At 35.2% G+C, this 19921-nt stretch overlaps 1 protein-coding gene and 1 pseudogene across 24 annotated transcripts in view, besides 1 other annotated feature; both read right to left on the bottom strand.

Annotated features, from left to right (window-relative positions):
- Positions 1451-1745: an enhancer, noted in NCBI's record as "tiled region #6947; K562 Activating non-DNase unmatched - State 24:Quies". NCBI's record gives its function as "activates a minimal TATA promoter and a strong SV40 promoter by Sharpr-MPRA in K562 cells {active_cell/tissue: K562}" and the evidence as "EXISTENCE:reporter gene assay evidence [ECO:0000049][PMID:27701403]".
- The window catches only part of TRPC1 (transient receptor potential cation channel subfamily C member 1), an 83855-nt gene continuing 65917 nt past the window's right edge, over positions 1984-19921 (bottom strand). For 10 of the 24 annotated variants that reach the window (NM_001251845.2, NM_003304.5, NM_001413362.1 and 7 more), the window contains 6 exons: positions 18714-18853; positions 16905-17048; positions 7528-7703; positions 5694-5895; positions 5242-5436; positions 1984-3864 (listed from right to left, as the gene is read on the bottom strand). In NM_001251845.2, coding sequence (NP_001238774.1) covers positions 3637-3864; positions 5242-5436; positions 5694-5895; positions 7528-7703; positions 16905-17048; positions 18714-18853 — 1085 coding nt within the window. In that variant the 3' untranslated portion in view covers positions 1984-3636. Of the gene's footprint in view, positions 3865-5241; positions 5437-5693; positions 5896-7527; positions 7704-13694; positions 13750-15911; positions 16033-16904; positions 17049-18713; positions 18854-19921 lie in introns of those variants that run through there. The other 14 variants (NM_001413363.1, NM_001413378.1, NM_001413379.1 and 11 more) reach the window with 6 other exon arrangements.
- On the bottom strand, positions 8605-8662 carry RNU7-47P (RNA, U7 small nuclear 47 pseudogene; annotated as a pseudogene).

Below are 19921 nucleotides of genomic sequence, written 5' to 3'. Positions count from 1 at the left end.
ATACATTAAAATTCACTCTTTTTAAGCATACAGTTTGATGAGCTGTGCAGTCAGTTGTCTCCTAGACCACTAGACCCTGGTACTCAATGATCTGATTTCAGTTCCTATAGTTTTGTCTTTTCTAGAATGTCATCTAAATGGAACCATACAGTATTGTAGCTTTTTGTGACTGGCTTCTTTCACTTACTTTTAAAATCCATCCATGCTATTGCATATATCAGCAGTTTGTTCCTGTGGTGGCTTTATAATGTATCAACTTGGCTAGGCCTAATTATGTTTCCCAAAATTCCCTTTCTTGTATGCTTCCAGTTACAAGAGACATTTTAGTGCAAGACTGGAGAGCAGAAGTGAAGCAGCAGCCGTTTTGTTCTTGATGCGGGCACTTCTGCAGCTCACACGTGCTGTAACTTATCTGCTGGTTCACTTTGCTAATGTGGGGCAGCAGCCAGGCCTACAGTTGACCCACCTTTCCTTGGATCCTGCTTCAGCTTCTCTTGATTCCTGGGCCAAGTGAGTGTTTAGTAACATACTTGCAAAAGCAAGTGGCAAAGGGCAACACTTCTCCAACAGGGTACCACATCATAAGGTTGGAGATGTGAGGAGTCACATGGGACTCGGTCTGTCTTCATGGGTTCTAGCTTGTCCCTGATCTCTCCCACTTGACATCCATCTTTTCTTCCCACCTGCCTACCCTGTGGACTTCCAGCTCTGCTCCAGCATTAGATAAAAAAACAGGGACTTACAGAGACTGCTTACCAACTCCAACAGTTGTGTAATGTCAGATCCCTGTAAACAAATCACTATACACACACATACATGTGTGCCTGCAAATATCCTAGTAGCTCTGTTTCTCTGATTGTGACTGATACAATTCCTTTTTACTGCTGAATAAATTGTCATTGTATGGATTTACAATTTGCTGATCCAGTCACTAGTTAATGGACATTTGGTTGTTCTCAGTTTGACACCATGAATATAGCTTCTATAAATGTTCACATACAGGTCTTTGACAGATTATTTCAAAACATGGTAGAGTAGTCCCCCCTTATCCACAGGGGATATGTTCCAACACCCCAGTGGATGCCTGAAACCACAGATACTACTGAGCCCAATTGCCGTCAACTGGAACACGTTTCTGTTCATACTGTCCACCCACAAATTTAACGCCTTTTACATCTTAACTAAGCACTTCCCACACTGTGGCTGTAACTTTTGCAGTTTCAGGTGTAACAGCAAAATTAGCACAGATTTTTTTTTTTCTTTTTCACAATTTCCCAGACAAAAGATTCGTTCTTACTGTAGATGTTACCACAGATACATTTTTTCTCTTTCCTGAAGTTCCTTAAGTCAAGAGCTTTCACCTTTGCACTTAAAGGAAGCAGGCTACAGCTTCTCTTTGGCGTATTTGAATTGCCTGCATCACAACTCTTGCACTTTGGGGCCATTATAAAGTAAAATTAGGGTTACACATAAAGCAAGGGTTACACAAGCAGTGGGATGCCATGACCGTCGATCTGATAACAGAGAATGATGCTAAGTGATTCAGTGGTGGATAGTGTATACTGTGAATATGCTGAACAAAGGGATGATTCACGCCCAGGCAGGATGGCATGAGATTTCATCATGTGACTCAGAACAACAGTGAACAACTTAGAACTTAAGAACTGTCTGAGCATGGAGGCTAACACTTGTAATCCCAGCAATTTGGGAGGCTGAGGCAGGAGGATTGCTTGAGACCAGGAGTTCGAGGCTGCAGTGAGCTATGATCATGCCACTGCAGAGTGAGCCTGGGCAAAGAGACACTCTGTCTCTAAAAAATAAAAAAAACTTCAAGAATTATTTCTGGAATTTTTCATTCAATATTTTTAGATTATGATTGACTGTGGGTAACTGAAACCATGGAAAGTGAAACTGCAGATAGATAAAGGGGGACTACTGTATATCTCAACTTTTTAAAATTGGTAATACAATGAACAGACTCCATTTATAATCTAATGTCAAATTTTATTCACCTTTTTTTTTCTTACAATATGCTGTCATTCAAAATGTACCTCAGAAGCAACTCAACTCATGCATACAGTAGGCACTCTATAAATGTTTTAATAATTAGGTGTTTTTTAGAATGACTAAAAATCCAGATGTAAAATCCCAATTGGGAAGTGCATAATCCCATCGTAGACAAAATATATAACTTTACAATAAACATTTTTATAAGAATTTGCCCCAAAGAGGGAACACTTAAAATTTGGAAATTAAAAAATAAAAATGCAAAAGCAAGATGAAACAAACAATAGTAACCTATTTAGACAATGATCCCTGGATCGGTGGTGCTTACAGACCAAGGGTTACCTGCACCCTGTGGCGTAAGACCATCTGACATTCGGTTAAGAAGAGAATTATATACCTAATATCCTCTTAACTGGAAATGCTGCGAGAATATATAATAGCCTATGAAAACATTTTAGCTACATCCCTTTATGTGAACACACCAAAAATTTAAATACATATTTTATTCTCTAATTTTAAAAAACCAATGCTTTTCATCTTAAGCAGCAAGAATGATCCACAAGTAAGCATGAAGTCACTTTTATAGAAGCTGTGTTAAATTATGGAAAGTACCTTGGGAGATAAGCTCAAGAACCTTAGTCCAAATATAAAACAAATCATTGCATTAAAGAGACTTCCTATGTTTTACAAAAACAAAACAGGTTGTGACTACATGTGATAAAAAAGTGTCTCCTATCTATCTTAAAACTAAAAACATTCACTCCAACTTGAAAAAAAAATAGGACTATTATGATACAAAAAAATTAAAACAAACCAAATGTCGAGAAGTAGCTATGCAAACTTATAAACATAACTGAATAGCTAAAAAATAAAACATCTACTGACTGTATTTTTCAAAAACTATATAATTCTATAAAAATTTAAATGTGGACTAACTACATCAATACATGGAAATGTATATATAAAATATTAAGTGAAAAAAACATTAAAAATATAAAGTGATTATAACCATGTAAAAGTAAATATATTACAATAACAAAAACTGAAGTGAATTTAAATTGAAAGACATAAATAGATTCAAATATTAGGGTTTTTTCTTTGTTGCTTAAGATTATAACAAAATACAAAAGAAAAAATAGACTATTATTTTAGATAAAATAAAATTATACTCCTAAACAATAAATGCTGAACTATATGTGAACTCCTAAAACAGAGATATTTAAAACATAACTTCTATATTTCAAGTGTATCCTGTGAAGGAGATCAGCCTACATTTGCTGGTCTTCATTTTACAAAACATTCTGGGCAATGTGTCCATTTATAACTGCCCCTCTTAAACATAAAAAAAAACATTTTAAAGCACTAAGTAAGAAAACCAAGCAGCATGCTAACAAAATCTATCTACTTAATCTGTTTTGCTTCTGCAAAAAGCCACTAACAGAAGGTTTAAAAAACTAATTCTATATACACACTTTACATAACATATATTTATGCTATAAATATTTTAAAGAATGGCTTTTACATAATTCTTTATTTCAATATATATCTCATTAATTTCATTGCAAGTTATGCAATATAGTCTTTTGGATCTGTTATTGAAAATTATTCGCTCCATGATTTAGAAAATGGTTAATTTCTTGGATAAAACATAGCATATTTAGAAGTCCGAAAGCCAAGTAAATCCCTTATTTCATTTCGGAATTTTGACAGATCTTGGCGCAGTTCGTTTAGATTTTCCACAGTTGCCTGATCTGTACTTTGCATCTTCTGTCTCATGGAAGTCAAGTAACGATGCACTAGGCAGCACATCACTTTTTGATAGTTTTCATCTCTCTTCTGTTTCAAATTCCTCCATTCCTTCAAAACAACAATATGATACTAAGGATATGCAGAAACGATATTTAAATGAGGTAGAGTTCAAAAATATATTCACAGACACAAACACATCTTTAAATGCTTTATTAGACTATAGTTTTTCTACTACATGGTATAATATTCAACACTTGTTTAAAACAAATATAGCCTGCATATTTGTTTAATGAATTTAATTTTATGCTTATCTTGATTGAAAAAAATTAGTCTTAGGAATCCTTAGTTTATAGCAGGGATTGGCAAACTACAACCCACAAGCCAAATATGGTCCATATCCTGACTTTACAGCCTGTGAGCTAAGAATAGATTTTACAGATGAACATTTATCATCAATTGATAATAACACTAATTTTAAACTCTAGTTAAGTGAAATTTTATCCCCTCCCAAAAGGAACTCCATTCTTTTCACTAGTAGACCTATATTTAAAAAGTTATTACTGTTATTGTTATATTTTGACTTTTATCAATAAAAGTTTTGTGAAAATTTGTTTTCTCTCTTACTGTATCACTGCTTACAATATCTCTGATTTTGTCTCAGCCTGAAAAGTGTAAAGTATTTACTATCTGGACCTTTACAGAAAAAATGTCCCAACCCCTGGTTTATAGTAACATATATTGAATTATTGATGTATTGAATAACTTTCAAGAAGAACCAGAAAAATATGAGCTGATTCTAGTAGTCATTCTTTAGCTACAGTGACAGAATGGGTATTTTGAATATTTCCCATGTTTTAAAACTATGAGATGAAATTTTATATATTGGAGGAATCTGAAAAGTAAAAAAAAAAATCTCAGTACTATCTCCCATTCTTAATAATTATATGTGTGTGTGTGTGTGTGTGTGTGTGTGTGTGTGTGTGTGTATATATATATTTGTTTGTTTGTTTGTTCTGAGGTGGAGTCTCGCTCTGTCACCCAAGCTGGAGTGCAGTAGCATGATCCTGGCTCACTGCAACCTCCACCTCCTGGGTTCAAGCAATTCTCCTGCCTCAGCCTCCTGAGTAGCTGGGACTACAGGCATGTGCCACCACACTCAGCTAGTTTTTGTGTTTTTAGTAGAGATGGGGTTTCACCAGGCTGGTCTCAAACTCCTGACCTCAAGTGATGATGTGCTTGCCTCAGCCTCCCAAAGTGCTGGGATTACAAGCGTGAGCCACCGCACCCAGCCCTCTCACTCTCAATAGTATTTATTGAATCCTTACTTTATGTTGGATGCGATGCCGTACATTAGGGTATATAGCAGTGAAAAAAAGTCAGACAGTCACAGCCCTTAGGGAACCTGCATACTTACGCTTTAAGAAATATCTGAGATTAGGAATTGTTAAAACTTTTATGTTGCCATTCAAGCTTCTAATTTCTTACCTTTAAACTGTTTTGCCGTTTGACCTTGCCTTTTGATGTATGAGAGCAAATCCACTTACTGAGGCTACTAATCATATAGCAGATAGTCTTTGGTGAGGGAATGATGTTGAAAGGTGGAGGTAACGTACATTTGTCATCAAAGTAGCTAAGCCATAATTTTGCTCGAGCAAACTTCCATTCTTTGTCTTCATGATTCTATATAAAAGGCAAATTAAAAAGCAAACTAGAATATTAATACACACACAAATATGGGGGATGTTTCCACACCTTGCAGAAAAATTTTGTTCAACATTTGCAATTATTATACATTACTTACATTTTAAAAATCTATATTTAATTTAAAAATACTATTTTTCAATTCTTATAATCTTATAATCTTTGGCTATCTTATCTATTGTATGCACTTAGTATGGTCTGAGGAGAATATAAAGTTTTTAAAAGAATGAACTTACTGCTATCAACTGAAAGCTTTTATGAAGCATTGCCACCAGCAGTTTGGTAAGCACAATCACAACCACGACATTGTATGTACCAACAATGACAGCTCCCACAAAGGACTGCAGTTCTTCTCCATAGCTAAATCTTGTGACAAAGATTGCCACATGCGCTAAGGAGAAAATATACCAGAACAAAGCAAAGCAGGTGCCAATGAACCTGTAAAGACAATTGCATTTCTGTTTAAAAGGCAATTAAAGAAATTAGCAAAAATGAATCATTTGTTTATATCAAAATTATTTAAATAAAACATTGATAATCCATGAAAAGTTCCTTATTTAAAAATGATGTTGACTTCCACAGTACTGATATGCCTTACTTTAAATTTAAACAAAGAGACCCTAAGGAAGATAAATTATTTGTAACTGTTTAACCCCTTGCTGCCTTTCTTTCTGTTCTCAACAAGGCAGCCTATATGATTTGTTAACATCTAATTAGATTTTGTCACACCTCTGCTCAAAACCTTCAAATGACTCTCAATCTCAACAACTCAAAATCCTTACAAGGGCAAAAAAGTCCTACATGATCCCCATTACCCTTCTGACTTCATTTCTGTCTGTTCTCAACAAGGCAGCCTATATGATTTGCTAATATCTAATTGGATTTTGTCACACCTCTGCTCAAAACCTTCAAATAACTCTCAATCTCAATAACTCAAAATCCTTACAAGGGCAAAAAAGTCCTACATGATCCCCATTACCTTTCTGACTTCATTTCCTACAACTCCCCCTCTGATTCAACACATTCCATCCACACTGGCTGCCTGGCTTTTTCTTGAACATACCAGTCATGCTCCTACCTCTGGACACTTGCCTTTGCCGTTCTCTCTCTCTGTAAATGCTCTTCCCCCAGAAATGTTCTTCGTGGCTTGCTCCTTTACCAGCTTTAGATCCTCACATGAATGTCATCTCTTCTGGGGCACTCCCTAGCTCCTTAGTTAAAACTGAACTCTGACACACAGACACTCTTTTGCTCATGCTTTATTTGTCTTTGTAGCCCTGACCACTGTGTAACATACTGAATATTTTACTCCTCTTTTTATTGCCTGTATCACCTCCCTAGAATGTAAGCTTCATCAGGGTAGTTTTGTTTACTAATACTTCATTTGCTCAGCACTTAGAACATTGGCTGGTATATAGTAAGTGGTACACTGACACATACTCATTAATCTTATTCTTTACATAAGATGACACACAAAATAACTAAAGAATAGTTGACACATAATAAGAACATGACAAATGTGTCCTTCCACAACTCTTCTCCATTGTTTTATTTAAAAATGACGGGAGGAATTTTGTTTACCTCAAAACAGGTTATTCAAATCCTTATGATACATTAGAGAAAAAAATGTTCATGAAGTTCTAATGATTCTCAATTCTAATGACCTCTTAAAAAGTGTTGAAGCTGTGAGCGTTTTTGGCTGTAACAATGACTGAGAGTTGCTACTGACATTTAATACCTGAAGGACAGAGATGCTGAACATCTTGCAATACATAGGAATGACAAAGAATTGCTCAAAATGCTAAGAACACACAAAATGCCAAGAATTCCTCTGTTAAGATAGACTGCAGTAGGGAAGACAAGGTAATAACTTGGACCCACTATTTAAGATGCTGTATGTAAAGATGACTATAGTGATTCATGAAAAATAAGTATTTATTAAAGTTTATGAACATTACTAAGGAATTTCTTAAAATGTGAAGTTCCATTTCTATAGATACTAATTCATATAGAAGATGGTAAAAAAAAAAAAGACAAATATATTTACTAAAACATTTAAAAGATACTCACGAATGGAAGGTATCATTGCTTTGCTGTTCACAGAAGATGCCTACACAGTCCTTCTGCTCCTTTGAAGTATATCCTTTATCATACAGTTGTGTCAGTCCAATTGTGAAAGAAAACAAAACAAGAAGAAACATCCCAAGAAATTTTCCAAAATCTTGTAACATCTGTCCCATTGAAATCTGTGGAATATATTACACAGGTGTTCATTAAGATTATCAGAAAAACAAAATATTAAATATAAATGACCCAGCAACAAAAGGAAGAAGACAAACACATAATCCACAGGCCACCCCTTCTATTGCATCTGGTTGAGACAGATCATTTTAAAAACATCGAAAATCCAGCTGCCTAACAAAAAGTCATTCTAATCATACCAACACTATCAGTGTTAGATGGCACGTTCCTAGAACCTGGATCAGGGTTTCAGAGGACATTGTTGTTATGGAGATAGAGGCAGAGATATGGAGATTTAAGAAAAGGCCTAATTTGCAAGGGATAAAAGGAAAATACCCTGCTCAAACTTAAAGAGAAATAAATGCTTATATTTACATGGCTTCTTAAATTTTACAAACATAAAATCATTATGAGGCAAAGTATTTCACCTGATTTTTGAAACCAATTCTAAACCAATTCCTAAAATCAGCATTTCCTCCTATGGGACTGCCCTAATTTCTTTTGCTGAAGTGATAGATTTTCTTTCCCTTTGGGTCCATTTTAAGAAAATATTATGTGTGCAAGCCAAATGAGGGTGTCCAGTATTAGTAGTGAGTATCTTTTGTAGTTTAGACATGTATAGTGCATATGGAAGCTTTAATCCTAATTTCATTCTTCAAAATTTAGAGATTAGGTACTTTTCATAAATTCTTGGTTTTTAAATTGGCATGCAAATTTGGGGAATAATGTGATAGTACTTTTTTGACCCAGCAATTCTATCCCTAGAAATTTAACCAATAGATAGGAAGTACACAAAGATGCATGTATATACAAGGATTTACATTGCAACATTGTTAGAGGTAGCAAAAAAATTTTAGAAAATCCTCAATATTGTTTTTATTTTTTATTTTTTAATATTTTTTGGGGGGGACTTTCCCGCAAGAACCGGAAAGCCTGCTAGACAAATTCTAAAAGAGCTGTAACATTACTCAACATTGTTTTTAAAAAGAATGAAGAACATCTACATGTGCTAGCATACAAAGATGGCTGTAAGACAGTAAATCCAAAAAGCAGGGTATAAAACAGTATGTATATGTAGAACGGCCCCCATTTCTATTTTGTTAAAGGATAGACAAGATACATATTTTAATATAGATATGCTTTAATATGCATAGGAAGTTTCTGGAAGTTTACATAAGAAATTGTTAACCATGTTTATCTATGGAAGGGCATATATCTAAGGGTATAGTAGGGAGACTTTTTTTTTTTTTTCTTTCTTTTTAAGACAGTCTCTATCTCCCAGGCTGGAATGCAGTGGTGTGATCTCAGCTTACTACAAACCTCCGCCTCCCAAGTTCAAGTGATTCTCCTGCCTTAGCCTCCCAAGTAGCTGGGATTACAGATGCCCACCACCATGCCCAGCTAATTTTTTGTATTTTTAGTAGAGATCGGGTTTCACTATGTTGTCCAAAATGGTCTCAGATTCCTGGCCTCAAGTGATCTGCCCACCTCAGCTTCCCAAAGTGTTGGGATTACAGGTGTGAGCCACCGTGCCTGGCCTCATTATTTTTAATGTACAAAATTGAGTGTTTTGAAACAACCCTTCCTCAAATTTAACAGGTCAAATTTATATAATTAATTACATCAAGCTTTAAATAAAATTCCTAATTGGCCCAAGTCGGCCAGCATAGCACATCCCGCTTTCAGTGATACAAAATGGTAGCCACAGGCAACTGGCCAGATGCTTCCAGCCCACTAAAGTGGACCAGCTACTTAAGCAGAATAGGTGAGTTTAAATTCTTAGGCACGCCACAAGCTAGTAACCCAGACTCTGCCATAGTGGAGAGGTCCAATATGCCTGACTTGTGCTTTTGACTAGACCATGTGGTACTTTTCAAGGCCTATGCTGCCCTCACTTGGCCCCCTTACAAAATTCTGACACAAGAAGCAGGGGACACTTAGAATCAGAAAACTCAAAATATGTAAGAAGGAGAAGAAATGCATTTTCCTCTTAATCAATGACAGCTTTATTGGATCACCTTGAGAAAGAAAAGCATCCATTCAGATTGTGATTGCTTAGAATAAAGCTATACCATCTCAGTACAGAACTCAATCCCTTATGACAGTAAGAATACAGTAACTGCTTTTGATAACTACAGAAAAGATCACCTTGAGGAAAGTCTGGACACTGTAAGCTTACAGGTAAATCAGGTTTTCCAATAGTGACCATGTATGATATCATTTTAATTTTAAAACATGTAGTCAAAGTAGCTTTAATTTAACCTAAGTTTTAAATAAATGTAATCGAGTTCAATATCAAGGTAAGCAATTCTGAATGAGAACACCACAAACTTCATGACTTGCTTAAATTTTAAATTTAAAAAGAAATTTTTAAGAGACAGAGTTTCACTCTGTTTCCCAGGCTGGAGTATGGTGGTACAATCATGACTCACTGTAGCCTTAACCTCCTAGGCTTCAGCAGTCCTCCCCACTCAAGCCTCATGAGAAACTAGGCACATCCCACCATGCCTGGCTAATTTTTATTTATTTTTTTGTAGACAAGGTCTTGCTATGTTGCCCAGGCTGGTCTTGAACTCCTGGCCTCAAGCTATCCTCCCGCCTTAGCCTCCCAAAGTGCTGCAATTAGAAGTGTGTTCCACCATGCCCGGCCTGACTTGTTTAATAGCATGGTATTGGTTCTTAATACAAGAAGAAGTAAAAGTAGAACAGTGGATACCACTGAGGAAAACACTGGCTTGAAGACACTAATGAAATATTCATGTGAAAGGCAAATATTAAAAACAGTAAATTTATTTTAGACTGAGAGATTATAAGGTTTATGTATTTGTAAAAGTAATAATGCTTTCTCAAACATTTACTTTTTAAAAAGTACTTGGCGGTTTAACTTGAGAAATATGAAAACTTGTGAAATGAAAAGAGAAAGGTAATTAAAATATTAATACTAAAATTTACATAGAGTTAATACTAGTACACACAGAGGAAAAAATCCTTCTTGCTAATCAGAAAAAGGGAAATTAAAGCAAACTACTAAATTAGCATAACTTTAAAACAGCACCAAATGCTATTAATGTAGTGAAACTATTTTTATACTGCTTGTATTGCAGAAAATTAACACACTTTATTGTAAAAAAATAAAAATACTGAGGTGTTAGGTGGATCATATCTTTTGATCTGTTAATACTATTTTTGGAGACTTACCCTTAGAAATAACAGAGGCAAAAAGCCTCATACACAGAGTACTATGCAGAACAACAAAAACAACCTAAATCTCTGATAAGGGAAAGGTTGCTATCATTAGGCTCATTAAATTACACAAGTTGCTAACAAAAGAAAGCAATAATAATCACAACTTCTAGTCACTGTCTTTCCAAATCTCCCTCCAGAATAAAGCCATAATTATCTGTCCAAAAGTTCTATCTAAACAAGTCACCCAGGCTCAAAAACCTCCTTTGCACATGTGATATTAAAATTCCTGGCACAGAGACCTTCAGTGTCCAGCCCAGCCTGTCTTTTTTAGCCTCATCTCCCCAACTCCAATCCACGGTCCAACTATAAAGGATATGCTGTCTTCTCTAAGCACACCATGCTTTAGGACTCCACGCTTCTGCGTGTTACTTTCCCTTTGTCCTTTGCCAGGCAGGCTTCTCATCCTTTCAAGGCTCAGATCAAATGCCACCTCCTCTAAGGAGCCTTCCTGACTCTCTCCGGCTACTTCCTCAGTCATGCTTCCAAAGTAACTTTGTTTGTTATTGCTAAAACAGTATTTTTGACTTCATACTAGTATTTATGTTATGTTTGTCTCCTCTAGCAGTCTTTAAGAGCAGGCACCATGTCTTAGTAAGCTCCAGAGCCCAGTGCATTAATTAAAATGTTGAATAATTCTTTACCACTTTCTTAGTTTCTTAATTAACTTAGTTAATTAACACCAAGTCCTGGTTCTAACACTGTGTGAGCTGGGCCTTAGTTTCCTGATCTATACAAGGGATATAGTCAAATGCTGCATCAGACTCATCTGCATGTCATTTTCCAGCTTTAACCCAATCAATTTAATCAGTATCTCTGAGGGTAGGACTTGAGAATCTAGGTTGAACATGCTCCCCAGGTGATTCTGCAGCCCCACCAGTTTGAACCTCTGGACTACATGACTCCTCGGTTTCTCTAACTCTAATATACACCAAAATGCAAAACACCTGAAACAGCTCTTTACTCGTTAGAAGCAGCACCAACATGCCACTTATATTATACAGGCTACTAAATTAAATCTGATAATTATCCAGTAAAACCAAATAATTCACTAGAAATAAAATACACACTCATGTTTCAAGTACTAAGCTTTCCAAGTTTTCTTATATTATTTTTCAGGTCTGCCATAGTTAACTAACTATAAAAGGAATGGAAAAAATGGACCTAAACATTTACGTAAAGCCCACCATGTGTCAAGTACTGTGGTATGCATCTTACATACACTGACCCATTTAATCCTCACAATAACGGATAAAGAAACTGAGGCTCACAGACACTAAACAGTAAGTGATGGAGCAAGATTTTGAACCAACCTGTCAGAACCCAAGGGGATGTTCATTCATTTGTAATATTAGTAATTCTAATAATTAGACCAAACAGAAAAGCAAGACAGTTAGATACAAGCTCTTTCAAGTACCATAAATGTTGAGGCCTAGGAATGCATGCATAGACCCTCAAGAGCTCCCCTCCTTTGGTCTGATTTGCTCATCACCACCCCTCCAGAACTAATCCTTGCCAGAGATTTCTGCTTTGGGGCTCCTCCTCAGAGAAACCTAATCAGTGTATGTGGTGCCTTTAAACTGTTTTAGAATCACATGATACGGCAGATTTCCCTAGGAAACATTTCAACCTCTGGGAAAGAAACGCACCTCCTATCCTAAATGAAGTAGGAAGGGGAGGAACTTTAGGGAAGAAAAGGGATTAATATTTGAGAAAATTGCCAAATAATTTATTCCCCTCCAAAAAAAAAAAAAACAACCTTTTTTCCACTTAGTTTCTCTAGATGTGAGGCCTGAAAGCATGAGGTCAAAAACAGAAGCTGAAGTGGGAGACTTGTTGCTTTTGTAAGGACTTCTTATCATAGCACTGAAGAAAAGGTGGTGATGTTTTACAGTGCGAAGGGGAAGAAAAAAAGAGGAAGGGCAAACAGGTCCACTCGACTTTATGTCTGGGTCCTATCAAATATGACAATCATAATAAACCTTAGGTTTCTCTTTGGATAGATTTTGGATTTGACAGTCCCTTGGACAGCAGGAGTAAAACTCCTTGAAAGGTTGCTTTCTCTGAAGGCCTTGCCTCTTTCTCTTCTATCCTCCTCAATCCACTCCACTCTACACTTTAAATGCCAGATTCAGTTAGAACCCTCTCACTACTTAGTACCAGTAACTGCCCTCAAAATACAAGCATACCTCGTTTTATTACACTTAACTTTGTGGTGCTCCACAGATACTGTGTTGTTTGTGGCAACCTTTTTTGAGTAAGTCTATGGGAGCCATTTTTCCAATAGTATGTGCTACAGATGGGTAAGAATCAGGGACCCACGCAGCAGAGTCTTGGAGCAGGAGGAACTGATAATAATCACATCTTTTGTACTAAGCTACAAGAATAAAGACAGGAAGCATGTGGGACCTGAGAGAGGGCCCTACCCTGGGACCAGGTAAGGAAAAAAGGAAATAAGGAAATAAGGAAAAAAGGGTAGAGTGCTGTGTGGCCATGGGTTGTTCTTTCTGTCTAAATTATCCAACTGTCAGTGTAAAAGGCTGTTTAATTCATTTGAAACATGTGACTTGAATAACTTTTTAAAAAACTGTAAATTATTAAAGCCTGCCCACAGAAGTTATACAGTAAGAGTTAATGAGGGAATCATATTATTCTGTAGTATTATACAACCTGGGGGGCGATTTAGTATAGTGATTAAGATCACTGGCTCTGGAGCCAAACCACCTAGGCGGAATCCCAGTTCTGCTACTTACCAACCATGTGACCTTGCGCAAGTTACTTAATGTCTCTATGCCTCAGATTCTTCCTCTGTAAAATGGAAATAAAAGAGTCTGCCTCTTAGAATGGTTGTGAGGATTAAATGAGGTAATAAATGTGAATAAAGACTTTAGAACAGTATCTGGCACATAGTAAGGGCCCAATAAATGTCTGCTGTTATTACTATTATTACCACAATTATGTACAGATTCTATCTTCATGTCGTTTTTTCTTTAAAATATAAAGCATTACTGATTTATGCCCAATCATGTTTCTTGTATCTGCTGAAGTGGATTAGCTGGCATCCTTCATAAAAGCAAAAGAAACAACAAAAAAATGCCTGTCTATTTAGCTTTGTAGTTACATTCCCTTTGGGTATATTTGTATTTTGTTCATTCTTCTGTTTAGATCCATATTCCCCTATGTTACTGTAGTCCTTCCACCTGAAGGACTTCTATTAACGTTCCTTGTAGTGCTGGTGTCCAGTGATGTATTCTTTTAGCTTTTGTGTGTCTGGAAGTCTACATTTTACCTTCATTTTTGAATGATATTTTGCTAGGTAGAGAACTCCAGGTTGACAGTTGTTTTTTTTTTCTTTCAGTGCTTTACAAATGTCACTCCACTGCCTCCTTGCTTGCACTGTTTCTGACAAGAAATCTACTGTCATCCTTACCTTTCTTTTTCTGTATATGATGACCTGCTATTCTCTGTTTGCTTTGAAGATTTTTTTTATCACTGATTTTCAGCAGTGATACACTGAATATGATGTCCCTTGGTGTGATTTTCCTCATGTTTCTTGTGTTTGCAGGTTTATTGAACTTCTTGGATGTGGGTTTATAGTTTTCTTCAAATTTGGAAAATGTCTGCTATTATTTCTTAAAAAATTTTTTTGGTCTCTCCTTTTTTCAGGGATTCCAATTACATTAGTATTAATATTAGGCCACCTGAAGTTGTCCCAAAGTTCACAGATACTCTTTTCATTTTTAAAAATTCTTTCTTCTCCATTTTATTTTGAATAGTTTCTATTGTTACCTATTCGAGTTTACTAATGTGTTTTTCTACAAGGTCTAACCTGTCATTAATCACATCCAGTGCATGTTTCAGGTCACAGTGAAAATTTCATCTCTGAAAGTTTAATTTGGTGTTTTTTTCTTTTTTTTACATCTTCCATGTCTCTACTAAACTTTAAACTTTTTGTACATATGGAACACAATAATAATAACTGCTGAAGAGTCCTTATCTGATAACTCTAACATCTGTGTTGCTTTTGGATAGGTTTTAATGAACACATTTAAGTTACTTGGAAAAAATTTAATCCTTTCACATCTTGCTTTTAATATTTGTTCGTTGAAACTAGAGCAGTGTGTAGGCTTGAGATAACTATTGAGGCAAGACCCTTCTGAGTATTCTTCTAATCCCGTCGGATGAGATGGTTCTTTCCCTGCCCGAGGTAGTGTCCTCACATGCATATGCTAATCAGTACTCTGCTGAATACTCAAGGGAGACAACTGCAGATCTCCAGAATTTTCTTTCTGTGCTGCTAAATCCAGAATTCTGCCAGGCTCTGACTGCACTGACCCACTCTGCACAATAGCCTAAAAATTCTCACAAAGCAGTAAGCTGGAGTGATCTTTGTTTCTTGTTTCTTAGAGATCACTGTTGTTTACTGCCTGATATCTAGTTTCTTATAAGCTGTTGTTTCATATATTTTGTTCTTTTTTCCTTTTTGATTGCTTTAGATAGAAGGGTAAATCCAATCCTTATTACTCCATGTTGGCTGGAAACAGAAGTCAGAAATTGACTCTTCATTCCTAAAAAATATTATACTTTCTCCTTTTTAACCCTTTATAGGAGTCCATAAAGAAATTTCCAGTATAGAAACCTAGTTCTGTCGTCCATTTTCAGTTAAAAAAAAATCAATGTGCATGTAAAAACACTGTAGACTCTTGATTAAAGCATTCGTAGATGATATTAGTGGCAAAAATAAATCAAAAGGACAGATAGTTTAAGCCAGTGTTTCTATGGCTTACTGTGTTTTGGAAAAATACAGAGACTTGCACATATTTCATGAAAAACAGGTATGAGGTTAAATGACTTTAGGTAATGATGATTTGAACAAGGTTAAACAAATTTTTTTCTCAGAGGCTTTAATGTGATAACATGCACTGTCAATTCCCAAGAGGTATACAGTATACAGTGTGTCCCAAACTTACTTAATTCAGAGCATCTCACAGGACTTGGTTAAGAGAGCCACACTTCAGGAAACACTGTTGCTGGATGACAGCACAAGCCTAATCAAATCAGGTTTTTCCTATATATTTTATTTTCATATCCCTGTTTGGAGAAGGTAATTATGCCTTTTATTTAAAATATCACCTTTAAAAATATGAGACAATCTAAATTGTTAGTAAATTTTGACTTAAGGAAAAATGAATATTGTTCAGATTTTCAGAAATAATAAGCTATAGTATTACATAGAGCTAGCAGAGTTGACCCCACCTTCTGAAAACCAGTTACTAAATTCTGTGGGGTAAATGCAACCAATTATGAGTCTTTTCTTTGGTGCAAAGAGACTGAGAATTTAGTCTTGAACTCTCATACATAATAATCATACTACTTTGGACAAATCAAATCCCATCTCAAAAGCTCAATTTCTTTAACTATAAAGTATTATAAAATATAAAGCTGAACTACATAGCCTCTGTAAATTTTTTAGCTCTAAGTATGCTACTTTCCAACTTATTACATTTAATATTTATTAAACGAAAGTGTAAGTATTCTTTTAAATCCAGCTTATTCAAAAATCATCAAATATGATTATTTTTGTTTGCACAGGTCCTCCTTTATACTTATAACCTAAAATATTTAAAACTTTAAATGTGAGATTCATTTTGATAAAAAGCAGATTTTTATGTTACTCTACTGTCTGAAGTGTAATTATATTTTAAACATATCTATGTCTATGAAGTGGGGGGAGGAGGCTAATGGACCACAGCATAATTAACTTGGAATACCTGAAAGCAAAGGATTATCACTGAGCCAGAAGCAAAGTAGATAAACATGCTGTGTCCTTCTAATTGCTACTTATTCTCAAGAGCAAAGTTTAGCTTTAATATCATGAGAGAACAGTATTCCACTGGACAAGGAGAAAGATGTAACAATAATGACATCTAAAAAATGTTCTTTAAGAAATTTTAATTATTTACCTGTAATGGACCCAAGATAGAGCTGGTTGTATACATAAAAAAGAGACGAAGATAACTTAGAACATTTGCAAATGCAAAAAGCCCTTCTGCCACCAGTGTAGGATGGAATGCATCCCAATCCTTCCGATCAGCAAAATCATGAAACTAAGGTTAGGAAGAAAAAGCCAAAGGTAAATAAGCTCTCTCAATTTAGGAAAATAAAAGCAAATATTCTGACTGTTGAAAGAAAGCCATTTTAATTTTGTCTTCTTATAGGGGATCTCCACTTATGTTTTATAGGGTTTTTTAAAAATAGAAATAATATTTTAATGAAATAAAATATTATTATGTATGTGAGGCATTATCACTCTATATGAAGAGGTTTTTCCAGAAACTCTTAAATTTTAGAAAATTAAATAATTTTTTAAATGATCATTAAGCTTTTTATTAATGAAATGTTGGCTAGTTTTCTTAAATTCCACAACACAAACGTTAAGTACATGTGCTGTCAATTAATTCCCTATCATATTACATTAACCTACTGCTTTGACTTGGAATTCAGAGTTTTTTTCCCCCCTTTTAAATACAAAATAAAAAAGAGGGCATTATTGTACCTAGACACAGTGGTCAATTGTCCCCATTGCCTGGGATAGTTTAAGATGCTGTACCAGTTGTCCTGGCATAATTATTAATAGTGCCCCCTTTCACTCTCAAAATGTCCTGATTTGGATAAAAAATTATATGGGTACTCCACTTATAGAACGAAAGAGATCAATCTGAAAAAGCAATGTCTCTCAATCCCTTTATCAAACCATTTATCTATATATGACCAATTTTCATTTTCTTAGTAATTTCACACTCTAGACACTGAACGTACCTAACATATTCCATACTACTGATCAATTAAACAGAATTTTTTAATAAAGTAAAATTATGTAAAATAATGAGCTTGCCTTTTCAATAATCTAAGAACTAATAAAAAACAGAGAATATTATATATTTTAGTTCCTTGAATGTGACACCCCAGAAGAATTCTAAACTCAGGGTTTAAACAAAGATAGTTAACACACAATTTGTTACCCTTTCTGGGCTTGGGGGAGCTTAAATTCTGATGAAAGTAAAATTGTAAGTTATCTATAAGGGTAGATTTTTGTCAAATTCTAAATAAAAATATATAGTTATTAGAAAAATAATAACATTTACATCACTTTTAAAGCTGTTAATCATGATTTGAAATGTGTAAAATATTACATAACCAATTTCATTCATTATGAAATGGAATGGAATGGAAACTCTTTTTCTGGCAGATATAAAGATATCTAACACTAATCATTTTAAGTTACTTTGTTCTCATTTTAAGTATATACAGGTTAATAAGCTAAAAGAACCTAGGTCAGATATAAGGAATTGGCATCTAGTAGAAAGAAAATGCCTAGACAGGGCAGGATTTAAATCCAGTCTTGGTTTCCTATTGTGTGGTTTCGGACAAGTTGTTTAATATTTTTAGGCTTCATTTTTCTTACTTGCAAAATGGGAATAAGGAAATAAGGACTTCAGTCTCAAAGAATCCCAGTGTAGATAAAAAGAGATAAAGTATACCAAATGTGAACTATGGTCCCTGTTATATAATAAATAACCATCATGTAAAGGTAAGTAACACCTGTAAACTACTGGAAAAATAGGAAACTATGTGCACACAGATAGGCTTAAAATGAAAACACACCAGACACTGATCTGGCTCAATGTAACTCTGAGTTACATAGCTAAATATCTTAGCTATTTCCAAAATAAACTTAATTTGTGCCTTCAATTGACATAGTAAATAGTCACCTTGTTGTGAGCAACCACTTTGAGGGCAAAGGTTGCCAAATAAAGAGAATTCATGACAAAACTGAGTTGATTACGAGATTCTTCTAAAAAGTCTTCCAACCCTTCATACCAGAGTCTTTTAATGTCTGACCAAATCATCCCTGAGAAAAGGAAGAAAAAAATCAGATAACACTTTCTTAATTCAATAAATAAACTAAATAATACTTTAAGACTCAAAATATTAAATAAATAATCCTTGGGCCTTATTCAAAAGAAAAAAAAACAAAACCAAAAACATTTTAGTGAAAAGTTCTTAAAATCTGAAAGAAAATAACCTTAACTTTCATACGACTTGAAGAAAATAACCTTAAGTTTCATCTTTGGATGTGGAACAAACGTAAGAAACCAAATAAATTAATGCCAAACACACATGGGCACAAACACACACACACGGATGCATGCACATGGATGCATACACAGGGATACAAACATACACGGAGACACACACGGATACACACATGGATGTGCACGCACACACGTACACACCCCCGCACAAGGGGCTCAGTCCCTGATCCTTTTCTTTTCTCTACCTATACTTACTACTTTAATGATCTCACCCAATCTAATGGCTTTAAATATCATCTACATGGCAAAGGCTCTCAAGTTTATATATTTAAGTTCAAATCTTTTACTTCTACAAATTTAAGTAAACCTAGTACCAGGTTTCAGCCTGTTTTGTTCTGTGAGTGCAAATGTCAAAAAAATGCAAAACCACTGCTGCTCATTGTGCATAGTGGGCACTGCACCCTCCCTTAAATCCCATTTTACTCAGAATCAAAACCAGTCTTTACAATGGCCTGCAAGTCTCCAAATTACCTATCCTCTCTGACCTCATCTCCTACTAATCTTTCCTTGTACTATTCTAGTCGCGCTGGCCTCCTTGCTTCCTTGCTGTTCTTTGAACACATGACTCCTGCCTTTAGGGCCTTTATACTGGCTCTTCCTTCTGGCTGGACCCTCCTCACCCAGAGATCCATTTGACTAACTACCTCACTTTTTCATGTCTTTGCTCATCACCCTTCCTGACTACCCTATTTAAAATTGCAAACTCTTTGCAACTTTAAAATTGTCCCCCACTCCCAATTCTCCTAACTCTGCTTTTACCTTTCTTTTGTATTACTTATCTCTTTTCTAACACTGAATATAATTTACTTATTAGGTCTATTATT

Source organism: Homo sapiens, chromosome 3 (genome assembly GCF_000001405.40).
Source record: "Homo sapiens chromosome 3, GRCh38.p14 Primary Assembly".
Classification (NCBI taxonomy): Eukaryota; Metazoa; Chordata; class Mammalia; order Primates; family Hominidae; genus Homo; species Homo sapiens.
Note: the sequence above shows the minus strand (reverse complement) of the source record. Positions and strands in the feature narration are given on the sequence as shown.